The sequence below is a fragment of the Homo sapiens genome, chromosome 4, assembly GCF_000001405.40.
Source record: "Homo sapiens chromosome 4, GRCh38.p14 Primary Assembly".
In the NCBI taxonomy this organism is placed as follows: Eukaryota; Metazoa; Chordata; class Mammalia; order Primates; family Hominidae; genus Homo; species Homo sapiens.
The window spans coordinates 16,170,831-16,192,994 of record NC_000004.12 but is presented as its reverse complement, the minus strand read 5'-3'; the positions used below and the strand labels follow the sequence as shown (position 1 = coordinate 16,192,994).

Sequence of the window (22,164 nt, the reverse complement as noted above, 5' to 3'; positions counted from 1 at the left end):
AACAGTTTGGAAGATTTACAAATTCCTTCTTAAACTCCACAAAGATCTTTGGAGGAAAAGCATTAGGAAAGAGCTCTGGAGAATATGTAGCCAAGGAATATCAAATACATAGGTGACTCAGATGGCCAATGGCCATTTAGAAAATGAGCCCACCCCTGTATTGTTGCTTAGAACATTGTCACAATTGGTGGAAATGAAGAGATTCTGCAGCTCCTAAAAAAAAGTACTCGGGCCGTTTTATTGATTGCACTATGCATAAAAGCTGACAAAACAAGAGACAGCATTTTCTGTCCTGAGGAATCAGCCTGCAACAGGCAAAGAGAACGTATCTTTCCCATTCTTATCACAAGAATTTTAAATCCAGTGGAAGAAATCTTAAATTTCTTCTTTTCTAATGTATTTTTTGCTCTGTCTTGTTAAGATGGTTCCTTTCACAATTTAGGTTTAGCTCCTTTTACTCTAACCTCAGAAGTAAGGAGTGATTCTTCTGCTCATATTAATTATGAAAAAAATATTTCAACTGAAGTCACAGAGGTCTAACATTTGTAATACAAAAGCTGTCCTATAAACCAGTACAAGAAAGATAGGGAGTGTTCATATGAAATATAAATAACTGTTAAATATGTGGAAAGATGTTTAGTTTCCTAATGATAGAAATTAACGGTGAAACTACACTGTGTACGATTTTCCATCAGTGAGACTGGCAAAGATCCAAAAGTTGATCAAACACTGTATCAGTGCCCTGGGCTACAGGCTTTCTCATGACATTGCTAGTTGAGGTATAAACTGTACCCAGTACAGTGGGCAGTTCAGCTGTTTCTATCAAAATTTCAAGTGAATATAACCTTGGAATTCCAATTTCAGGAATTTATCCTACAGATACACTTTCATATATGTGACATGGCATGTAGATTGCATCATGGCTCATAATTGCAAAAGACTAGAAATCTGTCAGTTATACGTTAAATAAATTATGGTTCATCCACATAGTGGAACACTATGCTGCCAAAAAAGTATGAACTCCTGATGAACTTATATGGAATATCATGCCGTTAAATAAAGTACAAAATGCAGAGCAGTATGCATAGAATGTAGCATTGTGTGAAAAGGGCTGATCCAGCAGGCTATGTGCAGGGATTCATGATTAGGTTAAAAGCTTATGCCATAATGGTGGAAATCTGTTGCTGGAAAGCACCCTATCAGTAGATACCTGCCCTCTGTGTTCATTTGTTAAGATTGCCAACATCTAATAGTAATTCTTACTTAAAATCTTTATATTCTATACTTGGACAGAAAATTTTACACTGTCGAGTAGTCATTTAGTTTAACCTCCCTTGTTTGAAGTTTTTAAAAGATCAACATAATTCTTATTTTTACCTTTGTATGCCAGTGTATATCGAGTAAAGATTATTGTTTTTGTGAGAACATACAGAGTAAAAATTATATTTTTATTACTTCTTGTATGTTTCAGGGACAGACGTTTGCTTCAGCCTGCCCAGGTGTGTGACATTTTGAAGGGTGTCATTTTGGTAATCTGCTATTTTATGATGCACTATGTTGACTACTCCATGATGTACCACCTGATAAGGGGGCAGTCCGTCATCAAGCTCTACATCATCTACAACATGCTGGAGGTAAGGGCCTTGCTTACCCCGCACAGGCCTGGCCAGGGCACTCAGCTTCAAGTCTTCAGTTCTGAAGGTACCTGAGAGTCAAGAATGCTCTACCGACTCTAGTTATGGTGCTTCTGGCCTTTACTGTGCTGTCATCACTTGGGGGCTCTTCTTAAACATGGATTCTGATTTAGGAGATCTAGGCTGGGTCTGGAGAATCTGCATTTCCAGGGCGGTGGGGCTCATGCTGCTGGTCTGGGACACACCTCTGGTGGCAAGCCTGCAGGCATGGCATGTCCTCATGTAGGCTGGGAAGATTCTTGCTGCCCAGACATTTTAGAACCAGTACCCCCTTGAGTATCCAAATTGTCAAGTGCTAGGGAAATTAGTTTCACAACTTCATTAGAAACCCATGCTAGAACTTTAAATTATGAAGTAAATGTTATGATTATGTATATGTTTGCTGTAAGAAATACACATTTTAAGTTGCACATTTAAATTCAGATCTTTACATAGGGTAAATAAATATAAGTTCCCAATTTTTGTAAGTAATGTTTTTAGTACAATATGTCTCACTTCAAAGCATTCAGCGTATGAAAATCTGCATTTATATAAAAAATAAGTTGAGCTGATATACATTCACTTTACAAAAAAATGCTTCGCTTTATAAGCCAGATATTCACAAGTTTTTTAAATAGTAAGCTACCCTAAGTTATATAATAAACTTTGAAATTCAAATTGCAGGCCGGCACGGTGGCTCACACCTGTAATCCCAGCACTTGGGGAGGCTGAGGCGGGGCGGATGACCTGAGGTCAGGAGTCCAAGACCAGACTGGCCAACATGGTGAAACCCCGTCTCTACTAAAAATACAAAAATTAGCCGTGCCTGGTGGCGCGTGCCTGTAATCCCAGCTACTTGGGAGGCTGAGGTAGGAGAATCACATGAACCCTAGAGGTGGAGGTTGTAGTGAGCTGAAATCGTCCCACTGCACCCCAGCCTGGGTAACACAGCGAGACTCCATCTCGGGGAAAAAAAAAAAGAAATTCAAATTGCGTTTTTATATTTTATTTTTGGGGGGATACAATAAGGTCTATTTATCTTTCTAATTAGCCATGAAGAGATTTTTCCTAGTGAGAGGACAGATGGGGTGGGGGCTGCTGGCCTTTCTGCTCTGAAGCTGCATCGCTGTGGTAGACAAGGACTCTCCATCTCTTCACAGAAGCCATGGAGCTCTAGCCTTCCTGGTACCTCCTAAATTCAAGACCAAGATGTTTTAAAACCATACCCCAGCTACCTGATTCTAGGCTTGCTGCGCGTACACTTTGCCCCACCAAGTAGGTTGCCTAGGGGTGGATGGGGACAAAGTTTGTGAAACAGAATAGCTCATCTTGTTCTCCCTTCCTTCTCATAGAAAGAGCCTAGGCCTCATTCCCTGTTCCCCTCTGCTCTCTGCCTTGCTCTTTTCACTGCTGCCCTACTAGTCTCTCCTTCGTAGGCTTTCCATCTTAGGACACTGGAAAGTGCGAGGGTTTCTCCCTGTCCCCTGACTTACAAAGCCCTCTCAAGGTAGTATTATTATTGTTACTAGAAAATAGGCCGAGAAAAAGGATCCATGAATTGCTGACTAAAATGATTTATATACGTATTCACATTGCAGACTATAATTGATGAGGTGGCTTAAACACAGTGGATGAGAGTCCATGCTCTGGAAGAGGCAAACCACCTCTGACCAAATCCTAGTCCTTCCTTTATTACCTGTTATCCTGGACATAGTTACTGTTGCTGAATATCTCTAATCCTCAGTTTCTCATCTGTAAAGTGGAGATACTAGGGAGATTATGAGGATTAAATAGACTTCACATAGAAAGGGTTTAGCACAATATCAGGCCCATGGTAGGAGCTCCCTAAATGGTAGCTGTTATTCATTCAGCACATCTTTAGTTGGCACTTGCTGCATGCCAAGCATCTTAGACCCTGAAGACTCACAGGTGAACCAGCCTATTCTCATGGAGCTTATATTCTACAGGTGAGAGATAGACAATAAACAAGGAGACATTAGGAAATGATATATCTTATGATGAAAAAGAACAGACTAAGGCAGTAGAGACCATAGGAGCCACAAGAGATTGGATGGTCTGGAAAAGGCCTCTGTTAGGATGTGGCATTCAGACTGAATCCTGAATATCATGCCCTCCTTTTCTCTCTTTTATGTGTCAATTTTTACCTGTTATACTGTATTCAAGGAGATTGATACCTGAAAATGTGGTTAGGAAGTAAATCTGCATATTTTATTCCATATAATAAACCTCAAAAAAATAGTTACCATTATTTACAAATATTAGATATGAGTAGGTCAAATGATATATTTGTCCTAAATTTGAATCCTGAGTTTGAATTTAAAGTGCTAAAACCAGAGGAACCATGATTTTGATGTGCCCACCCCCTTTTTTTCTTTTTTTGGTTGAGTCAGAGTCGCGCTGTCACCCAGGCTGGAGTGTAGTGGCGCAATCTCGGCTCACTGCAAGCTCCACCTCTCGGGTTCACGTCATTCTCCTGCCTCAGCCTCCCGAGTAGCTGGGACTACAGGCGCCTGCCACCACGCCCGGCTAATTTTTTGTATTTTTAGTAGAGACGGCGTTTCACTGTGTTAGCCAGGATGGTCTCAATCTCCTGACCTCGTGATCCGCCCACCTCGGCCTCCCAAAGTGCTGGGATTACAGGCATGAGCCACCGTGCCCGGCCAGATGTGCCCACCCCTTTTATTTTTGCCACTATTTAAGACTTTCTTTGTTACAAACATAGCTAATTAGTCTAACTGAAATTCTATACATATTTTAGCCGTTACTATTTGTTAAAGAATAAAGAAATGTGAGTGAATAAGTAAACAAAGATCCTCACTCCTCTTTAGCTTGCCTTCTACTAGGATTTAAAACACAGATCTCCAGGATTTGAGCTATATCTCAATTTTAGTTATATATTTAAATGGAATATTAAGAAACATCTTACAAATAATTTTTTTTTTTAGGTAGCTGATCGTCTGTTTTCATCTTTTGGACAAGACATATTAGATGCTCTCTATTGGACAGCAACAGAGCCTAAAGAAAGAAAAAGAGCCCACATTGGGGTGATTCCTCACTTTTTCATGGCTGTTCTCTATGTCTGTATCCTTATAGACCTACTGGAAATTTCCGACAGTTAATGCATAGTCTACCTTATTTTATTTGGTTAGCCATTTTATAGATTTAAAGATATATAGATAATGTATGTATCCTGAAGATTAATGTGAAATATTTGTGTTCTGTTGAGAAATTGATTGTCATAATAACTAACTAATTTAAGAGCCTCATGTAGGCATTACTCTTTGAGCTGCTGGAAAACAGTTCTGTTTGCAGTGTAACTGATTATAAGGAAGACTTTTATAATAAAAAGGCAGTGTATCTTTATACATACCTGATATAGATCTATATAATTTTTCGTACTTATGTTAGAATTTTTCTTGAAGTTATCTTTAAATCCAGGAATTCTTTTTTATGGGCTTAAAATGCATGGAATTTATCTAAAAGTGTAATGTGAAATTGGTTGGGAGGAGTTTTGGTGGTTTTATGTGTTTGTGTATTCTTCCCTGGCTTTAAGCTTTTCTATTGGAGAGTAAGTGCTTTACTGTATAAGCAGTGTACATGTTTGTGTGTACCCCTACATATTTATACACACATTCCTGCTCTTAAGTTCCATGTGAAGTCAGGACTCATTCACAAGAATGAGTCACTTTTTTTTTTTTCTATCTCTGTAACAGTGACACTTGAAAGAAATTGGGTTAATGCTTGGAAAGTTAAAGAACCAAGTTGGAAGATACCTGTGAGGGTAAAATCTTGTTCCAGTTTTAATGGAGTAAAGCAGTTACCACTCTTAGATATAAATTAACTATTCTGTATGTAATACAAATATAATTCTGCAGTTTATGGATATCTTCAAAATGACATATGAAGAAGAATCTTAATTATCAGATATTTCCTACTGCCTTACATTCCACATTTCCTGAAGACTCAGGGAAGAAAATCACTTCCAGAATTATATTTTGTGCTTTCTTTTTTAGAATGCAAATTATTTTAATTCAGAATGTGTATTTCTTAGTCTCTTCTTTCAGTATTTACCATAATTTATTCCATTTACTTAACAAACTTTTTTGAGGGCCTATTTCCTGAGCACTGTGCCAAGTGCCAGAGATACAGAAAGAACAAAACAACCCTGTTGCAAAGGATTCATGGTCTAAATAAATGAATGCATAGAGGTACATTTCCACTTTTGTTCGTTTCATGTGGATTGCACATATCCTGTCAAACTTATATCAACTATAGCTAATAGGGAAATTATGAAGATAATACAATACTTATTAAGACAATTTAGAAAAGAAAGTCATCTTTATTATTCACTTTCAAAATTTTATAGTATTATCAGTAATAATATGAAAGCAAATTTAAGTTTTTTCCTTGACCTTCTATTAGTTTTGCATGCAATTCTTATAATGGTTCAAGCAACAACTCTCAATGTAGCTTTTAACTCACACAACAAGTCTTTGCTTACTATCATGATGTCTAATAATGTAAGTATGAGATTTATCTTACATTTTTGAAGTTATACAGGCATTTCAGCTGCAATACTCTGGGTGGGATAAAATTCTTTGTTCTATATGTTGTTCTCCCGGAAGTTTTATAAGTAGCAAGTCCAGTTTTTAAACTGTTATAATCATAAAGATGGTATTTCTGTTTACTATTTCAGTTTGTTGAAATTAAAGGAAGTGTTTTCAAGAAGTTTGAAAAGAACAATCTCTTTCAAATGTCAAATAGCGGTATGTACAATTAGATTCTACTTGAAGTTCTGTGCAGTATTATTTTGCAGTTCATTCTGAAATCCTAATGGCACATTTTCTCTGGGCCACTCTTCAGCTTAAACTGTACCTTCTCTTATGCTATCAACATCTTTACTAGGTTTTCTTATTTTTGGTTCCTGTAATCACAAGATGTTTGAGATAAAAAAATTAGAAACATTTGTGTAGCACCATACGCTACTTTGAGAAGCTTCTTAATAGTCTAGAAATTTCTCTGAAGTGGGTGGTATTTTTCCATTTTATAGATGTGAAAACTGAAACACAGAAAATAATTTGACTTCTCCACAGTCACATAGCTTCTAGGAGAACTATGTCTATAAATCTCAGATTGTCTCTAAGTCCTTAGCTTTTTTAGTTATTATTTAGTTATTATTTACTGCCTTCGTTCTAATCCTAAAAAGTGTGAAGGCACAAAATTTTTGTGCCTGGAGTCATTGTCTTACATAGTTTTTGAAAGCCAGAGCCACATTGCGTGGTGGATCATGGAGCCCCCAAGAACAGTCCCAGGGGCTCTGCCAGGGAGTATGCTCAGAGTCAAAAGTGTTTTCACAAGAATATGAAGACATTATTCATCTCTTCTGCCATGGTGACATTTGCACAAGTCATGAAGAAATGGTGGTGTTTTAGCATGAATCCAGACAGATGTACAATAGAGAGGACCCCTAAAGGAACCTGGCTTGATGATGTCCTTGAGGAAGGAGGGGTGTGTTATGGGGAGGCCTGCAGTCCTGTCGTAGATAAGAGCACACATGGCTCATCCAAAGCAGCGCTTGTCAGACTTTTTGGTCCTGAGAACCCTTTTACACACTTTAAAAAGTATGATGATCAGCCAGGCGCAGTGGCTAACGCCTGTAATCCCAGCACGTTGGGAGGCCGAGGCTGGTGGATCACCTGAGGTCAGGAGTTCAAGACCAGCCCGGCCAACATGGTAAAACCCCGTCTCTACTAAAAATACCAAAATTAGCTGGGTGTGGTGGCGGGTACCTGTAATCCTAGCTACTGGGGAGACTGAGGCAGGAGAATTGCTTGAACCTGGGAGGCGGAGGTTGCAGTGAGCCAAGATTGTACTAGAGCACTCCAGCCTGGGTGACTAGAGTGAAACGCTGTCTCAAAAAAAAAAAAAAATTACGATGATTCCAAAGGACTTTTATTTATATGGATTATGTCTCTCCCTATTCACCATATTCGAAATGAAAACTGAGAAATTTTAATAAAAATATTACATGCTTACAAAAATAACATTTCAATAAAAAAGATATTTTATAAAACAAAATTTAGTGAGAAGAGTTTCTCAACAAGTAATGCTGGAACAGTTGGATAAAGGTTAAAAAAAAAAGAACTTTGGCCCCTTCCCTGCCCAAGAAAATTAATTCATAGTGGTTCATAACCCTAAACATAAATGCTAAAGTTATAAAACTTCTAGAACAAAATATAGGAGAAAACATTCACAACCTTGGTCTAGGCAAACATTTTTGGAGACCACACAAAAAGTACTAAATGTAAAACAAAAGAGAGAAACTGGACTTCTTCAAAATTAAAATATGTGATCATAAAACTTAAAAAGTGAAAAGGCCAGCCACAGTACTAAGAGAAAAGATTTGAGATGCATATATCTGACGATAGATTTTGTTTGTTTGTTTTCTGAATATATAACAAACTATACCAATCAATAATGAAAGGACAATCTAGTTTTAAAATGGGGAAAAGGCTTGAACAGACATTTCACAAAAGAAAATCTATAAATGTCCAATAAGGTCATGAAAAGCTGCTCGGCATTATTAGGGAAAATGTCACTGGAGAAAGACAAAGCCATAATGAGATAGCACTGCACACCCTCCAGAGTGACTGCTCTTGTAGCCTGACAGTGCCACAAGTTAGGATATGGATTAACTGGCACTCAGGCATCGATGGCGTGAGTGTAAAGTATTACAACTGCTGTTTTTGGCCATTTCTTTTACAGTTAAATGTTCACCTGCCCTGTAATTCAGGAAATATATTTCCTCAGTAGGACTTGTTGCAAGAATTATTATGGCAGCTTTGTTCATACTAGCCAAAAACTGGAAACAACCCAAATAGCTATCAGTAGGAAAATAAACAAACTGTATATCCATACCATAGAATACTACTTAGCAATTAAAGATAAAAGAATGAACTCCTAATATTGTCAGCTATGTAGGTCTCAGAAGCATTATGTTGAGCAGAAAAGCCAGACACAAAAGTGTACATGATGTATTATTTCATTTATATGAAGTTTATGATCAGACAAAATTCGTTTATGATGATAGGAATAAGAGGTTGTTTGTTGGGCATTTGGATTGACTAAGGGGACTCAAAGGAGCTTTCTGGATGATGGAACTTCTTTCTGTATTAAGGGCTTGGTGTCTCAAGTTATGCATTGATCAGAACTCATCACATAATGTACTTAAGATCTGTGCATTTCACTGTATGTAAATTTTACCTGTATATTAGACAAGGAAAATAATGGCATATGAATATGTTAAACAAGTTATAGGAGATTTGAAAACTAAGCAAGGAACAAAAAGAACAAATGGAAAACTTGAACATAAAGCCTAGATGATTCTATGAGGCCATGCTGGACCTGACTCTCAAGGCTCTGAGAAGCAGTTCATATTCTTGCTGCTTATTAATGTTGCTCACCTTTCAAGTGCAGACTGCCAAGTGTCATGAATTAGAAATGAAAGAGGAAGGAGGGAAGGTACTAAATTATAGAATACTTTGCTTCAGTAGTTAACCATAGAGTAAATTGATTCAACTGTAAGAATTTCGTTTGTTGTGGAAACCATGTTTTTTTTAAATTAATTCATATTAGTAACCTCCTTTGGGTAAGTGCTCTTTATAGAGCCTTAAACTAGACACGCAGATCTTAAGTTTTAAAGGTTTTCAATCCTTGTGTATAAAAGCTTCAAAATTATGAGGGGGAAATTGTGAATGTTTTTAACCTTATGGCCAGCATGTTGATGTAATTAATACCCCTTTTCATTTTTATAAACGGGTTCCCCAGAATTCCAACCTCTTAGCTTAGAAAGATTAGGTATTCAATATTTGAGTTTTAAGAAAACTCTGGGAAAAAAAATGATATAATGATCAGGTATGCATATCAGTCTACAAGAAATTTGGACTTTATTTTGGCTTAAAATGGTTACTACTTAGCACCAAAAAAAAAATTACTTTTTGCTGTAAGCAAAGTAGCTCATGTTACAATGCAAGGTGGTCCGCATTGTACCCTTTAAGAGTTTTATAAGAAATTAACTTTACCCTAAGGCAGATTTTAAGACCCTTCTCAAGTAAGAAAAAAAATATTCTAGGCAACGTTCAGCTATTAAAATGGAAAGATCAGGAGTCACCAAGAGGTGCTTTTTACTCTTTATATGAATATGTTGCCTTCTTCATATGCTTCAGTAGTAGCTACTTAATGAGAGCCAGTCAGGAGGGATACTCATATCGGCTATTTTTTTCTTATGAATTTTCCTATGAATTTTTTCTCCATCAGAATTTGAGTTGCCAGATACGTAGTGTAAGGTTCAGTCCTTCATGCTGGTTTAATATAGAAGACTTCATGGAGAAATCTGAGAGTAACTTTACCCCTTTCAGTGGTAGCTCACTGTATATTTTCTTTGGAGGAATTGCCTGAGGACATGTGAAAAGTAGTTTAGTTACCAAAACCAGATTTTTAACAAATTATCCTTTTCTTCACTTCATTTTAACATAAGCGTTAGCTGAATGTGGAACCCCAGCCTTTCTGGTTTGCATTCTTGAGATGAAGAATTTTAGGTAGTTTTTTACGCATTGGTAATGTGAACTGTGCATTTAGAAAGGTCCTTCAGGAGTTAGGTTGTCTGGAGTAAGCTTATAGCTCACTTAGCACTCTTAGAAGCCTGCATATCTGCAATAAATGTGGATGTTTGTTGGAAATAGTCACTCATTTTATATTTAAAATGTGACTGCAAGTATGTTAAAGTATATCCCTGTTAGTGGTAATATAGCAAGGAAAAAGCTTAATAACCTGAATGTCAGAAATATTTTAAAAGCATTAATACCAATGTTTTTAAGCTTCTTAATAAAGGTTAGGAGAAAACATTCCTAGAAATTTTAATTTTTAATCAATGTAAGAGTTCAGTTCTAATCCGAACCCTGACTATTCTGAAGATGAGATGGTATAAATATGTTGCTGATTGCATTATTTATCTAATATATGTTTGATTATCAGTATCAGACTCTGTTATTCTCATAAAAATTTTATTTCTTTTTATATCTTACTTTGGAGAAACTTAAAATTTGGGTATTTTTTAACTCAAATTTTAAAAGTCAAATCTTGATTTTATAATGTCTATGTAAAACATTTAAATGTAAAAGTTGTGAAAGTGTAAGAATAAAACTTCCAAAAAATCTTCACATAACAGCCTCATTTTTATAGTTAGATATAGTTTTGTATCTTTATCTTATCAAATAAAGATAGAGTTAATTTTTATGGTGTCACTTTTTAATCTTTAAGCTTGCCATCCTTCACATCCTTCATCTTATAAAATCGCATTCATTTACCAAATTTATCCATTTTTATTAATCTCTATCATATTTTGAAATAGTCTGCTTTTCTAAAATTTGTTTTGGGCCAGGCACAGTGGCTCACGCCTGTAATCCCAACACTTTGGGAGGCCAAGATGGGCGGATCACCTGAGATCAGGAGTTGGAGACCAGCTTGGCCAACATGGTGAAACCCTGTCTCTGCTAAAAATATAAAAATTAGCCGGGCATGGTGGCACATGCCTGTAATCCCAGCTACTCCGGAGGCTGAGACAGGAGAATTGCTTGAACCCGGGAGGTGGAGGCTGCATCCAGCCTGGGAGACAAAGCAAGACTCTTGTCTCAAAAAAATAAAAAAATCTTAAAAAATAAAATCTGTTTTGCCTTAAATACACCTTTAATGAGATAAGTTTTTCCCCCTTTCATCAGTATCCTTAGAAATGAAATTATTGCAGATTTTCTCTATACTTGCAGCTGCCATATGTCCAAAAATCAAATACAATTAATTTAAATTCGATGGTAGTTTTGCTTTGTTAGAGTTTACAAAAGTTACTTTGGCTCATTTCAGATAGTGTTTTAAATTTCTCAAGGCCATTTATTTTCAGATAATTCTGTAATGAAGCAAGTCTATATTATACATGTTTGGGAAGTATCAAAAATAAATACATTTCATTGTTAAATTCATTTATGGAAATTAGAAAGGACTTAGCACACATATAGGTACAGCTTGGTGAATAATTCTACAGAATTCCAATTAAAGATACATTGGTAAATTTAACCCCATGAATTAAGATCCACAGTTAGCTGTAGTAACAAAGAATATATTTTGTGTCAGACTTTGATGGAACTTATTCTAGGGCAGACTTTTCTTAGTTTCCTTTAACCTGTATCCTCTTTTGAAGTCACAGAATAAATTAAACATGTGATCTAGACAAATCAAAACAGGTGCACCTGAAAATCCACATGGCCTTGCTCCGGAGGTGCCCTGCCTCCTAAAGAGGCATCTCAGTGCTTGGTACCTTGAGACTCACTGTGCCCTGAGCTCACACTCATAATAAATAGTGCTTCAGCTTTGGAAATAGGAAGTGAGTAGTGCCCACTGGGCTTTGAGGGAGTGAAGGCACAGCTCAGACCCATCACTAATAAGGAGGTGAGCTACCCTGAAAAAGAAGGTACCAGCAACTGACTGGAAGAGCTTAAGGATGTAGGGAAGGTACAGAGAATAAAGGCCAACTCGCTTACAGAGAATAAGGTTTTGCTGTGGAATAAAAGTTTGTATCATGTTGCTAGAGAATAATGGGGAAAGGTGGAAGTAAAAAAAGAGAAGCAAAGACAGTCCCATGAAGTACATCAGGATGAAATTGAAATTCAGAGCGCTTACAGGAGGTGCGCCATGGCTGAATGATATGGGTGAGGCTTGCATTTACTGAGGCAGTGGGAAAGTAGGGAAATGACAGCAGACTGTAAAAAAGCTTTTGAGATGGGTTGTTATATGAGTGATTGTTTCTAGTCACAGCCCCCACTATTGCATCGGCACACATACATGGGTGTGCCACTCTTAACTGCAGACAAATTTATTTTGTCCCATTTCTTGGTTACACGGTATCTTAGACTATGAGAAAGTTAACAGCTTAAAAAGTGAAATGTGTACACTGGCCTTTAGCAAGAATTCAGTGATTTGCTTTTATTAAATTCCTTCCACCTAATCTCAGCACACAGTTATTAGTTTATGGTAAATATTATGAAGCCCAATTTGGGGTTATTTTACCTCAAGTTCTACATACACCCCCGGAAATGCTATTGTAGTAGCAGGATTCTCTCAGCTAAAGGACTCATCAGTTCAGTAATTGTGTACTATTTACCAGATTGGAAATAGTCTGGGATTTTATACAAGGATTTTGTTACCCAAAGTCTTTCATTTTACTCTTTGCTTCTATTTTTTCTTCCGTAAAATGGAAACAGTTGTCATATGTCCCCAAAGCCCATTGGAGGAACCTAATGACCTCATCTGAGCAGTTTGATGGTTTGAATACTTTTTGAAGTTTATAGAAAACTGGAATTTCCATACTAGAATTATGTTGGCAAAAGAAGTCAATGGCTTACCATGGTAGCACCAGCCTATATATACACACACACACACACACACACACATATATATATATATAAAGTTGTATATTTATAGACATTTATACATCGTCTAATAATTTCATCATGTTCTGGCTAAAATAATTATATATGTACTTTATTATGTTGTTTATATACACTACAGTACTTATGTTGATTTTTTTTCTTTTAGATATTAAGGAACGATTCACAAATTATGTGCTTTTACTGATAGTGTGTCTAAGAAACATGGAACAGTTTTCTTGGAATCCAGGTAACTCACTCTTAACAAAACAGTGTCTTATAATTTTACTTCTAAGCCAAAATCATTCTTTTACATGGAATAAAATGAATATTGCAGAAAACTCCAAAAGACTTTGGCTGTTTTACTGTTTGGGTATTGGTGAAACAATCATCTGTCACTTAATGACCTTCAGTCAACAATAGACCACATATACGATGGTGGTCCCATAAGATTCTAATGGACCTGAAAAATTCCTGTCACCTGGTCTCCTAGTGTCCTTTTCTGTGTTTAGACATGTTTAGATACACTTACCATTGTGTCACAGTTTGCCTGCAGTATTCAGTATGGTAACGTGCTGTACAGGTTTTGTAGCCTAGGAGCAATAGGTTATACCATATAGTCTGGGTGTGTGGTTATACCATCTAGGTTTGTGTAAGTACCCTCTATGATGTTAACACAGTGACAAAATTGGCTAGCAACACATTTCTCAGAATGTATCCCTGTTGCTGAGCGACACATGACTGTACCTGTTTCAGTAGAATGGATTGGGTATGTTTTCTGTGGTGTAGTGGGATGCTGTCATTTTCCATAAACTCCTCAGTGTCTCTGGAGCTGTACACTCAGTAGGTGAGTGCGCCCTGTTATGCCTGGCAGCTCTGAGCCTTTCGGTTTTTAACTGTAGTGTACTTTAGTTACCTAAATCCAGAAAGATTGTTTTCATCTTAGGGGTTAACCAGGAGAACCTTTGCTCTTCCCTAACATTATCTTTTACCCATTGATTAGCATTTTAAATAGGGATAAATTAAATATAAAGTAAGGTGGAAATTTTGCTACTTAGGTGCGTCTCTGAATTCAGGCTGACAGGAAATTGTCAAGACTCCATGAATTTTCATTATCCATTCAGTTAGCAGACATTCACTGAGCATATGCTAGTTTCTAGGCACAAGGACAGGCACTGTGGCAATGTAAAAAATACTACGACATTTGTAGGACTTAACAGGCTAATTAAGGGGAAGTGGGTAATTATAATGCTAAGTGAGCTAAGTGGGAAATGATCAATTTCTCAGGTATCTCAAGTAATTTAGAGTTTTTGTTTGAATGTCTGACGTTTTTGTTGGAATCTCATTCTTAAAGGATGCAACCATGTTTTGGATTTCATTTATTACTCCCAGTATTATATATGTTATAGGCATTTATTAACTTCTTAATTTATTTTAATTCATTGGTAATTTTCAAGTAACTGTGAAAAATCAAAAACATATAAAATGAGAGATACGGTCTTGGAGATACATTTTCAGAAGTTTTTTTCATAGAGAAACCATAAGATTAAATGACATCTCACAGCAGCTCGAGCAGGCTACCTGGCTTGTGGTGGAAAAGCCTCTTCCTCCACACACACAGCTAGATTCTTTGTGTACCCAAATTTGTTTTAGTGAATGGTGGTATATTTCTTTATAACTAAGTCACCTAACAGGGTGTCCATGAAGGGCAGAGGGGGTATGTGTCACTGGTTCCGGTAGAGTACATGTAAGATCAGCAATTCCCAAAGCTGAGTGGTTAAACCAAAAGACAAATAGTCTTTATGCCTCCTAGACAGCTGGATATTTGAAGTCATATTCTCATTTATACTGTGACTTTTAATAAATTATCTTGCCTCCTTTGTTAGTACTATGGCAGATAATATGATAAATGGAGCACTTGCTTTTATTGATGAATTCACCATTTTCACTCTTGTTTTAGGTTTTCACTCTTTTTTTAGGTTTATTAAAATTTCTTAAAAAAAAAAACCAACAAAGTGCCATTTATGGAAGGTTGCTCTAAGTTCTCAGGGTCATGAGGAACATAAAAACAGCACTAGCCATTTTGTATGCCAGGCACATTGCTGTGCACCATTATCTCATTTAGTTCTCATAATAATTAAGTGTAGACACTTACTATCCTTAACCTTGTGGTTGAGGAAGCTGGAATTTAGCTCATTAAGAAACTTGCCCTTTGCTAGTGATGTGGATTAAAAAAAAAACTTGTCCAAGGTCATATAGCAGTTAGTAGCAGAGCTTATCGGCGAAAGAGGTCCCTTGATTTCCAAAACCTGATGTGATGCCAGACTCACAGAAGCTGTCTACACTGTCAGCCGGGATAGCCCAGCTGTGTCATCTCCATCCCACCTTCCGGCTACCTGAGTCTTGAGTTGCTGTGGGTCCTTGTCAGCATTTCTCCCTATCTTTTTCTTGCTGTGTCCCACTCTTACATTCTTTTCCAAGTTCTTAGGAGGTTGTCTGTAGGTGTGTTTCATCAGGTACCTGGTACTGAATTGGCATTAAAAAAATTTTTTTATTGATGCATAATTTGCATAGTTTGGGTGTGCAAGTGATAATTTAATGTATTCATATAATTTGTGAAGATCAAATCAGTGTACTTGGGATATCCATTACCTTAAATATTTGTCTTTTTGTTAGAACCAGTCAAATTCTTCTCTTCTACCTATTTTGAAATACACAGTAGATTATTGTAAACTATGGTTACCCTACTTATCTATCTATCACTAGGTCTTATTTGAATAGACATTTAAATGTCATAATGGTGAGCAAATATATCAGGCTAACATCTGTATGACAGTGAAACAAAGGATTGATTAATATCTTTACATTGTAGTGATCAAAGAAGGAGAAGACTGCTCATCTACAAAGACTACAGCACATCTCTTCTAGCTATTTACTGTCACATTGAGGCAGCTATGGAATTAAAGGATTTTCTAAGGAACCTGCTTAATCTAGTCATCCCATCAGCATGTCAGCACGTAGGCTTCGTGAAGGCAGAGGCTCTCTGCTAAACCACTGGAGCCCACATGTAAAGCAGTTCTTGGCACTTAGAAAGTACTGAATAAATATTTGGGTTTTTGTTGTTGTTGTTTGAGACGGAGTCTTGCTCTTTCGCCCAGGCTGCAGTGCAGTGGCGCGATCTCAGCTCACTGCAACCTCCACCTCCTGGATTCAAGCAATTCTCCTACCTCAGCCTCCCAGGTAGCCGGGAATACAGGTGCACGCCACTATGCCTGGCTAATTTTTGTATTTTTAGTAGAGACAGGGTTTCACCATTTTGGCCAGGCTGGTCTCAAACTCCTGATCTCAGGTGATCCAAAATGCTGGGATTACAGGCGTGAGCCACTGCGCCGGGCCTGAGTAAACGTTTGTTGAATGAAGTATCCTTTAACTTGATACAGTATAGCTCTTTTGATAAAGGTTATAATTGAATGCTAGTTCATCATTTACTGAAAATACTACAGTTTTGTTCTAGAGATTTCATATTTCTCTGGTAGCCTGTGATATGGATTCTGTTCATATTAAGATATTTCGTTGTTTTTCTTTTTTCTATTTACAGATCATCTCTGGGTGTTGTTTCCAGATGTCTGTATGGTAATTGCATCAGAAATTGCCGTGGATATTGTAAAACATGCCTTTATTACTAAATTCAATGACATTACTGCAGATGTATGTATTTTGATATGCACTTCAATGTTTAAAGTTTACTTCTGTTGCTTAATTTTTAAAAGTTGTAGAATAATAGGAGTTTGTTAATACTTTAAGGTCAGAATTGTAATTTTAAGTTTCTAAAAATTATTACACTATTGAAAGTATTCTGTTTTAATATTAGGCAATGATAATTCCATATTCTTGGGGTAGAAGTATAGACCAGCCAGTAGTCGAAGTCACAGTGTCACTAACTCAAAATCATTCTGATCAGTTAACACTGTCATAATCTGTTTAAAGACTTTAAAATCACATTGTTTCTATTTTAAAACTTAGACCATCAAAATTTTTCTCTCTGGCTAGGTTTTTAAAATATTTTATATTTAAAAGTTGATTTTTTTCCACGATTATGAATAGGTTCCTGCTAAGTTTTAGAAGACGAGAGCCTACATTTTTCTGGTGAAAGTGTTTAAACTTTGAGAAATTTGTTTTATGTTCTAACCAGATGTTCTGGATAATTTCTAGAAATAGATATGTGGCTATAGATTTATTGCATATAAAACATAAGAAAGTTTCCTAATGTAGTTCTCATTCCTGTCTCAGTCCCAAAATAAATAATAGTTCCACAGTTTTCTAGATTTTACTGGGTAGTACTTTTAATAACAGTCTCACAGTAATATTTGTTTTGTTTCAAAAGGCAATTATTTAAAATAAAATGCAGTTGCAACAACTGTGATTCAATTATGAGTTTCTGAATGTTTTAATATACTTAAAGTAAATACAGTTTTGTACTTTTTTGTAAAGCATTGATAAAGTAATTTCACCATTTACTTTCTCAGCTTTCTTAATGCAGAATGATTCCCTTTTCATAGGATCATTTATTTAGCATCTGAAGTCAAAATTAATAGGCTTGATTGAGACACTTGTGCACTTTTTAGTGGTAATGATCATTCACAAGTGCCTTCATATTTACTATGTTCCCTAACTTAGTTTTATGTCTTTTTCAGCATTCATTTTTCTCAGAAGGCATTATTATGGTTAGACAAACAGTAATTTTTTTAAACTATTCATTTAATTTAAAATTTCAAAATTATTTTATATACATTACACTACTTAAAATAGTCACTTTTCCCCAAATTCTAAACTCTCAGGATCATAGTCGTTGGATATTTATTCCCCTTTAAAGAAAAACCTTTAGAAGATCTATGAATGTTAACAGTTCGGTGGAATTGAGGTTACATTTTACCTTTACTGTAGGAAAACAAATAAGAAATTATGCCCAGATGTCAGCTTGGTTATTAGCACTTGTTCCTGGTTAATTATTAAATGTTTTTATTAATAAAGTTGCAGTCTTTCCACATTATATATTTTTACTGTATTACTTGATATTTCATTCTTGTTTGTTTTTAGGTCTACAGTGAATATAGAGCCAGTCTTGCTTTTGACCTTGTTAGCAGCCGACAGAAAAATGTGAGCATTTATCAAGGGCGTAGTCTGAAATTAACAAAGGCATAGTCTGAAATTAACTGAATAATGATTAATTTAGCATGAAATATTAACTAAAGGAAAGCTACATAAACTGCCTACTGATCTCTATTCTCAACACTAAATAAACATTTACAAATTAAGAATAATAGTAATACTTAACATTAAGTAGTATATGCTCTTTGCAGCATTTTAAGTTATTCAACTTTGTATTTAAGACTTGTGAACATTTGGATTTCCACATCATTTTATAAGTGCCAGGTTCTGTTCTTGCTCCATAGCCTCACCTGTTTAGAACATTTGCTGGTAATAAGTGAATAGTACTTTTAAAATGCTGTTTAAATCCCATAAATCTGAATCTTTTGCTTCTTTCTCTGTTCAGGCATACACTGATTACAGTGACTCTGTAGCACGGAGGATGGGCTTTATTCCTCTCCCACTAGCTGTTTTAGTAAGTGCATACTTTTTAATGTTTTTTGTAACAAAGTAGCCATCATTATAGAATATTAATAAATGGATTATTAATATGATTGTTTCAAAAGGACTTGATATAAAAATTAAGGGTAAATAACTTGGAAGAAAATTTTGTTTTAAATTATAGCAGTAGCTTATATATCCAAATATCTATTGGTTGAGCCATCCAATAGATGAGTGACGCTTAGCTGTTTTATGTAAATGGCTTTCCTAACAATGAGAATACTCTTTTTTGCTTATTCATTTAGTAAAAAACATTTTTTAATGGAAATATCTGAGCATGGTCATTAACGTGGCCACTGCAACACATATTGGTGGAAGTATAAATTAATCCAGTGTTTCTACAAGGCAATGTGACAGTATCATGCTTTAATTCAGTCATTTCATTTCTAGGAATTATCCTAAGGAAATAGTTATAAAAGACACACAATGATTTATGGGCATGGCTTTGCATTTCAGTGACATTTGTAATAATAAAAAGTTAGAAACAAACGAAATAGGTTAAAAAATTATGGTATGCCCAAATGAAGACATATTCTCTATCAGTGGTAATTAATACTTTTTAAAAATTGTCCAAACTTTTTGCAATGAAAATTCCTGCTTTTATACCCAAGAAGTATGTATTTTTTTTTTACTCGGGAGGCTGAGGCAGGAGAATGGCGTGAACCTGGGAGGTGGAGCTTGCAGTGAGCCGAGATCGTGCCACTGCACTCCAGCCTGGGCGAAAGAGCAAGACTCCATCTCAAAAAAGAAAGAATAAAAAGAAATATGTATTTTTTTCAAAAGCACTACTGAAACTTACTAAATCAACCCTCAACAAGTCATCAACTTTGAATATTTTAATGAATTGCCCACAACAGGCTTGCAAATAGTTTCTAGCCAGGTTAGGCTATAATAATGTTAATTAAGACGATTTGTTTAGCCTGGCTTAGTGGCATGCACCTGTAGTCCTAGCTACTCAGGAGGCTGAGGCAAGAAAAAAAAATTTGCTGGCTGCACTTGTATTTGATTATGTTCTTTCTTGACTACCGATTCTAACATCAAAACAGATGCAACCAGCTGGGCACAGTGGCTCACACCTGTAATCCCAGCACTTTGGGAAGCTAAGGCAGGTGGATCACCTGAGGTCAGGAGTTTGAAACCAGCCTGGCTAACTTGGTGAAACCCCATCTCTACTAAAAATACAAAAATTAGTCAGGCGTGGTGGCAGGCGCCTGTAATTTCAGCTACTTAGGAGGCTGAGGCAGGAGAATCACTTGAACCTGGGAGGGAAGGTTGCAGTAAGCCGAGATCGCGTCACTGCCCTCCAGCCTAGGCAACAAGAGCAACACTCCATCTCAAAAAAAAAAACAACAAAAACAAAACAAAACAAACAAATGCAACTGTCTTTTTTGCGAAAGGATATCTAGACTTCTATAGCTGCAGTCTCATGCAAATCAGCTAAGAAATGTGTAAAGAAAGTGAAGGTCATACCAGCTATGTTTTAGACCAGCTTCCTTGACTTTTTTTTAGATGACAGATGATTAATAGGCTTAATGCTATTTAAATTTCAGTGTGCCTTTACAGACAACCACATCCCTAAACATTTTTAATTATATTAATAGCTTGCTTATTACATCATAATATAGCTTTCTTTTGCTTCGGAAAAGGAACTCCTAGAATTTTGGAAAAATGGAGGCTTCTAAATAATAAAATTGTTTGTTAAAGGCTTAAGAGATTGATAAAATAGAATATTAAATATTTCCGCATTTGTTTACTACAACTAGAAATATGAAACATACAAATATAAGGATAAACCTACAAGGCCTGAATTTTTTTTTTTTTGTAAGGATTGGTCAGATGGTTGGATTTAAATATGATCCTGCTTTGCCAAATAATAATTGACTTATTTGTCTAGTAACTTGTCAGAAAACTCATAGTATGAACTTTTTTTGAAATAGTATTTAAAAATTTTTCTTCAATCCTTGTTTTATTCTTTAAATGAGTTTTTATGGCTGTTATACCAAAATATTTATGAATAATTAATAATTGACAAAACACTTTTGGAACACCTGCAGTGTGCTGAAAGGGGGTCATATAGTTAGGCAGAGATCTAGTGGGCTTCCTTCCATAGCACTTTGCTCACAGAGCTTCGTCGTGTGCCACAGCTTTGGCGGGCATCCAGGAGCCTTGAGAAATACATCGAGGCCTCTGTGACAAGTTAATTCTTTAATTAAGGCACAAGGATGGCAATTTTTTCTTCTAAGCGTTACATTGGGTCGTAAAATGATTTTATATCCGAAAAAAGGAAGAAAAAATGTGTATTAAAGTCTCATGGAAATTAGACTGAGTAAAAGTTAACTGATAATATGCTAGGTGAAAGTATAGTTATTTAAGCCTTAAATGTGATCATTGGTTTGCCTTTCATATTAATGAATAAAATCCTGGAGTCATGTTAACTTCAGTCACAATTGCCTATACAGTAGACATTACCCTGTAGAGACTGTGACACGGTTGAGGGCTTCCATTGTCACTTTTCTCATAGTGAGAGTTTATTGAACATATGACAAGCCATTGCCCCAGCTCTTCCCAATTGTTCTTTTATTAAAAGCATTTTTAAATGTCTTTTTAAATGTGTACCATTATGATGTTTATTTAAGATACCCTAATAGACTTTGGATAACTTGACATTACTAGATAAGACGACTTCTCCCTAATTCTCTATTTCTCTTTTAACATATGGGCATAGCAGCACTTGTAACATGTGGACATTTTACTTTAACTGATTCCACCAGATTTATTCAGCAGACTTCCAAGGATAATGCTTTTATTCCTTTATTTCTGTGAAAGAAGTAAGAAAATGGATAGTTAACTGTATCCAAAAGAGAGAACTGTTTCAATGTTTAATTAATTTTTTAATAGTGTTTAGTTTTTCTAAATACAAAACTTTTAAGGTTCCATTTTTCCTGTGTTCCCTGTGAGTTACTGGGGGTTCATAAAAGAGTCAAAGAAGAAAGGACGGAGGGCAAAAAAAGCAGGAATAAGGAAACACCCACCAAATAATTCTAGCTTTGGTGTGGACACGTGTAGCAAGATGAAATCATTTGTACTTTGCAGAATAATATTTTATAAAAATCAGCTGCTTTGCATCCCTGTGAGGTATAAGTGTGACATTCATGACCTAAGTATAGGGCCGAACTTAGAGAGTCCACAGGAGTCAAACTGTTGCACTAGCCACAGGCATCCCAGATTTGCTTGAACCAATCCAAATGTACCACAGAAGGTTTCACAAGCAGGCAGATTTTGATACAAATCAACAAATCTGCCTTCTTGGATTTTTAGACAAAGGCCATAGATATATGCCTAAAATG

General features: G+C 36.0%; 1 protein-coding gene and 1 long non-coding RNA gene across 11 annotated transcripts in view; both read left to right on the top strand.

Moving 5' to 3' along the window:
• The window catches only part of TAPT1 (transmembrane anterior posterior transformation 1), a 66,886-nt gene that overhangs the window by 34,396 nt on the left and 10,326 nt on the right, over positions 1-22,164 (top strand). For 7 of the 10 annotated variants that reach the window (XM_047449754.1, XM_011513816.4, NM_153365.3 and 4 more), the window contains 8 exons: positions 1,472-1,634; positions 4,640-4,775; positions 6,117-6,214; positions 6,391-6,460; positions 13,338-13,418; positions 16,767-16,876; positions 18,266-18,325; positions 18,723-18,791. In XM_047449754.1, coding sequence (XP_047305710.1) covers positions 1,472-1,634; positions 4,640-4,775; positions 6,117-6,214; positions 6,391-6,460; positions 13,338-13,418; positions 16,767-16,876; positions 18,266-18,325; positions 18,723-18,791 — 787 coding nt within the window. Of the gene's footprint in view, positions 1-1,471; positions 1,635-2,880; positions 2,949-4,639; positions 4,776-6,116; positions 6,215-6,390; positions 6,461-13,337; positions 13,419-16,766; positions 16,877-18,265; positions 18,326-18,722; positions 18,792-22,164 lie in introns of those variants that run through there. The other 3 variants (XM_011513812.4, XM_047449759.1, XM_011513817.4) reach the window with 2 other exon arrangements.
• Positions 13,426-16,311, top strand: LOC107986187 (uncharacterized). Its single transcript, XR_001741394.1, has 2 exons — positions 13,426-14,015; positions 16,041-16,311. It is a non-coding gene; the product is annotated as an uncharacterized LOC107986187 (long non-coding RNA).